Here is a 2,897-nt window from a genome sequence, read left to right as displayed (position 1 = left end):
TCTGCTTTATGTTCCCCACATAAAGAAGACTCAATATACAATGATTAATACCAGAAGACTCAATATGCAATAATTAAAATTAGTAAATCATCAGGATGATTAATTGCATTAATCATGAACTAGCTTTAAATAGTTAGCCCAATAAATAAATCTTCCCTAACTCCCAAGTGAATTACACAGCAATTTCAAGAGTTTATCTTATACATTAATGGAGATTCACCTACACTAAGACCTGAGACTTACAGGTCCAATGGGAAAAGATATATTTATAGCAACAAAATAAACTTATCCAAAGATATTACATAAAGTAACATAAACAAAATGCATACATATTTAAGATTTTATTTTGTACCATAGTCAATAGTCATTGAAAAAAGTATTTAAAATATTGCTTTTATGCTAAAATTATATTTCTAGTGGTTCCTGATATTGCCATAGGCTTACAAATAGCAAAACAGATAGTAGCTCATTTATATACAACCTATTATGTACCTTTTCCCTAAATTTCTATCAAACACAACATAGAACACCATGGAATGGAGGAAAATGTTCCTAGTTTTCCTGCAGGATAGTCCACTTTGGTCAAACATGTATCTTCCCTAAATGATGTCTACTCAGAGCCTCATTTGTCTTCTCTAGTCATCTGTAATATATTATTAGAAGTCATTTGGGTAGATTTAAATCTGTACATAAAAGAGTAAGCAGTAGGAAAACAAATGAAAGGTCAATAAAACAATACCACAAATATGACTTTCATTCATTCATTCCAAAGATATTTATTTATAATTTTCCTTGGAGAAAAACAGCCAGATGAATAGCACAAAGGCCATAGTTGCAGCTTAGAACACAGTCTCAGGAGTGACAGTCATTAATCATATGAGGAAAATTGGCATATGATGCTAAGTGTGGTAAAGATATATTTTTAAAAGCCACAGTTGCTCACGCCTGTAATCCCAGCACATTGGGAGGCCGAGGTGGGTGGATCATCTGAGGTCAGGAATTCAAGAACAGCCTGACTAACATGATGAAACCCCATCTCTACTAAAAATACAAAAAAAAAAAAAAAAAAATAGCCAAGCGTGGTGGTGCATGCTTGGAGTCCCAGCTATGCCAGATGGATGCTGACGCAGGAGAATCGCTTGAACCCAGGAGGCGGAGGTTGCAGTGAGCCAAGATTTTGCCACTGTACTCCAGCCTGGAAAAAAAAAAAAAAAAGCCACAATCCACTGTCCCGCAGTCGAGTCTTTGACTTGAGTTTGAATAGGAGTTGGAAAGAGGTCAGAGGGAACAGCACGTTCAAAATCCTGAGATATCAAGTAGCATAGAATGACTGAAGCACTGGAAACACTTGTTTGTCTAGAAAAAATAAATATAGATAAAGAGGAGTCTGCAGAGTTAGGCAGTGGGTGTGTCATGTAAGGTTTTGTGGGACTTTGGCCTTTGTTTTAAAAACCATGGAATGCTAATGACAGGAATTAAGCACACTGGGAGGTCGAAGATGACATGGTCAGATTTACACTTTGCAAATAACAGTTTAGATGTGGGTGCAGGGACATTAGTTCATAGTTATTATTAGTTTTCTAGATGAGAGATGATATTAGTTTGGAAGATGTTGTTAACTGAAAAAATAGTGCTGAACAGTAGATGGAATGTAGAGAAATTAAAGACTTAAAGAACTAAATCTTAAAATAATTTTTTGTAAGTTAAATATAAAACATTGTTTAGCAAGATATATCAAGAAGGACTTGATTTCTACCACAAGCAAATAAACTGGGTCACCTAAAGAGAAGACATGAAGGAAGACACAGTCAGGCAAGGAAAAATAATAAATCTGTCTTTCATTTTCGTATTAAAAAAGAGATGCCTGTAGTCATCCAATACAAATTCAAATAGTCAACTAAATATGTAGACTGTGAGGTAATAAAGTGTTGACTCTTGCTTATTTCTCTTTTGTGAACTGTAAAGAGAAGTATTGACTTGCTGGTCCCCTCAAAAATCTATAAGCTACATTCCAATAGTGTGAGGCAGGTTCTTCTAATCACAGAGTGAGGAATCAGCCATTTTGATTTGTTAAGAGACAGCAACTTCCTGAGATGTTTATTTATTTTTGAGCACATAACGTGGTGGTTGGCATTTACTCTTGGTTTTCATAATTCATGTTGATTTTAAAAGTAGTAAGGAATCTGATTAAAAAACCTACATGTTGTTTTTCAAGCTTGACCATAGGGAATTACAAAGGCTTTACCTGGCAGTCCTCATGGGGAAAAGCTGCCCTCTTCACATCAGACTTGGTGCACAGCACTGAGTGTACCCCAGGCTTTGAAGGGAGCTGCAGTCAAGGACTGGGGCCCTTCTGGCTAGTCATGAGCTTGTGCATGTTTGCATTCATATTTGCATTCCTGGCCCAGAGTCCTTCATTCTGCTGGCAGAAGTCTTCAGGCACCTCTGCCAAGGCCTGCTTATGGAGATAGGAGGGGGAAAACATGAGGACACTTTTCCCCACTGTGACTCAGTACCCAGTACCTCTGCTATCCCAGCCCTAACCCCAGTCTTTCATCCCACTCCAGGGTCCATAAAACTGATGGAGCCTTTTGTTTGGGTTTCCCTGAATATTAAGATGACCCATGTATCTATACTGATCCATGTGACCCTCAACTAGAGTCGAGTTCCCTGGGGGGAAATAAAACAGGGAGGGATCAGCACTTTCTCCAGTTTTATCCTTTTGCTTACACCTTCATAGTAACGTATCAAAGGCTTCACTGTTACTTTTATTTTGGTTCCTTATAGCTTTAGTAGACTACTCTGATATCTGGCAACTCGGCCCTTTCTCTAGTTCAGCTGAGTTGCTCGCAAATAACTTACCTATACTTTTTACCATAGTTTATGTTTTATAATCA

Source organism: Homo sapiens, chromosome 4 (assembly GCF_000001405.40).
Source record: "Homo sapiens chromosome 4, GRCh38.p14 Primary Assembly".
In the NCBI taxonomy this organism is placed as follows: Eukaryota; Metazoa; Chordata; class Mammalia; order Primates; family Hominidae; genus Homo; species Homo sapiens.
The sequence above is the reverse complement of the archived record's forward strand: the minus strand, read 5'-3'. Positions refer to the sequence as shown.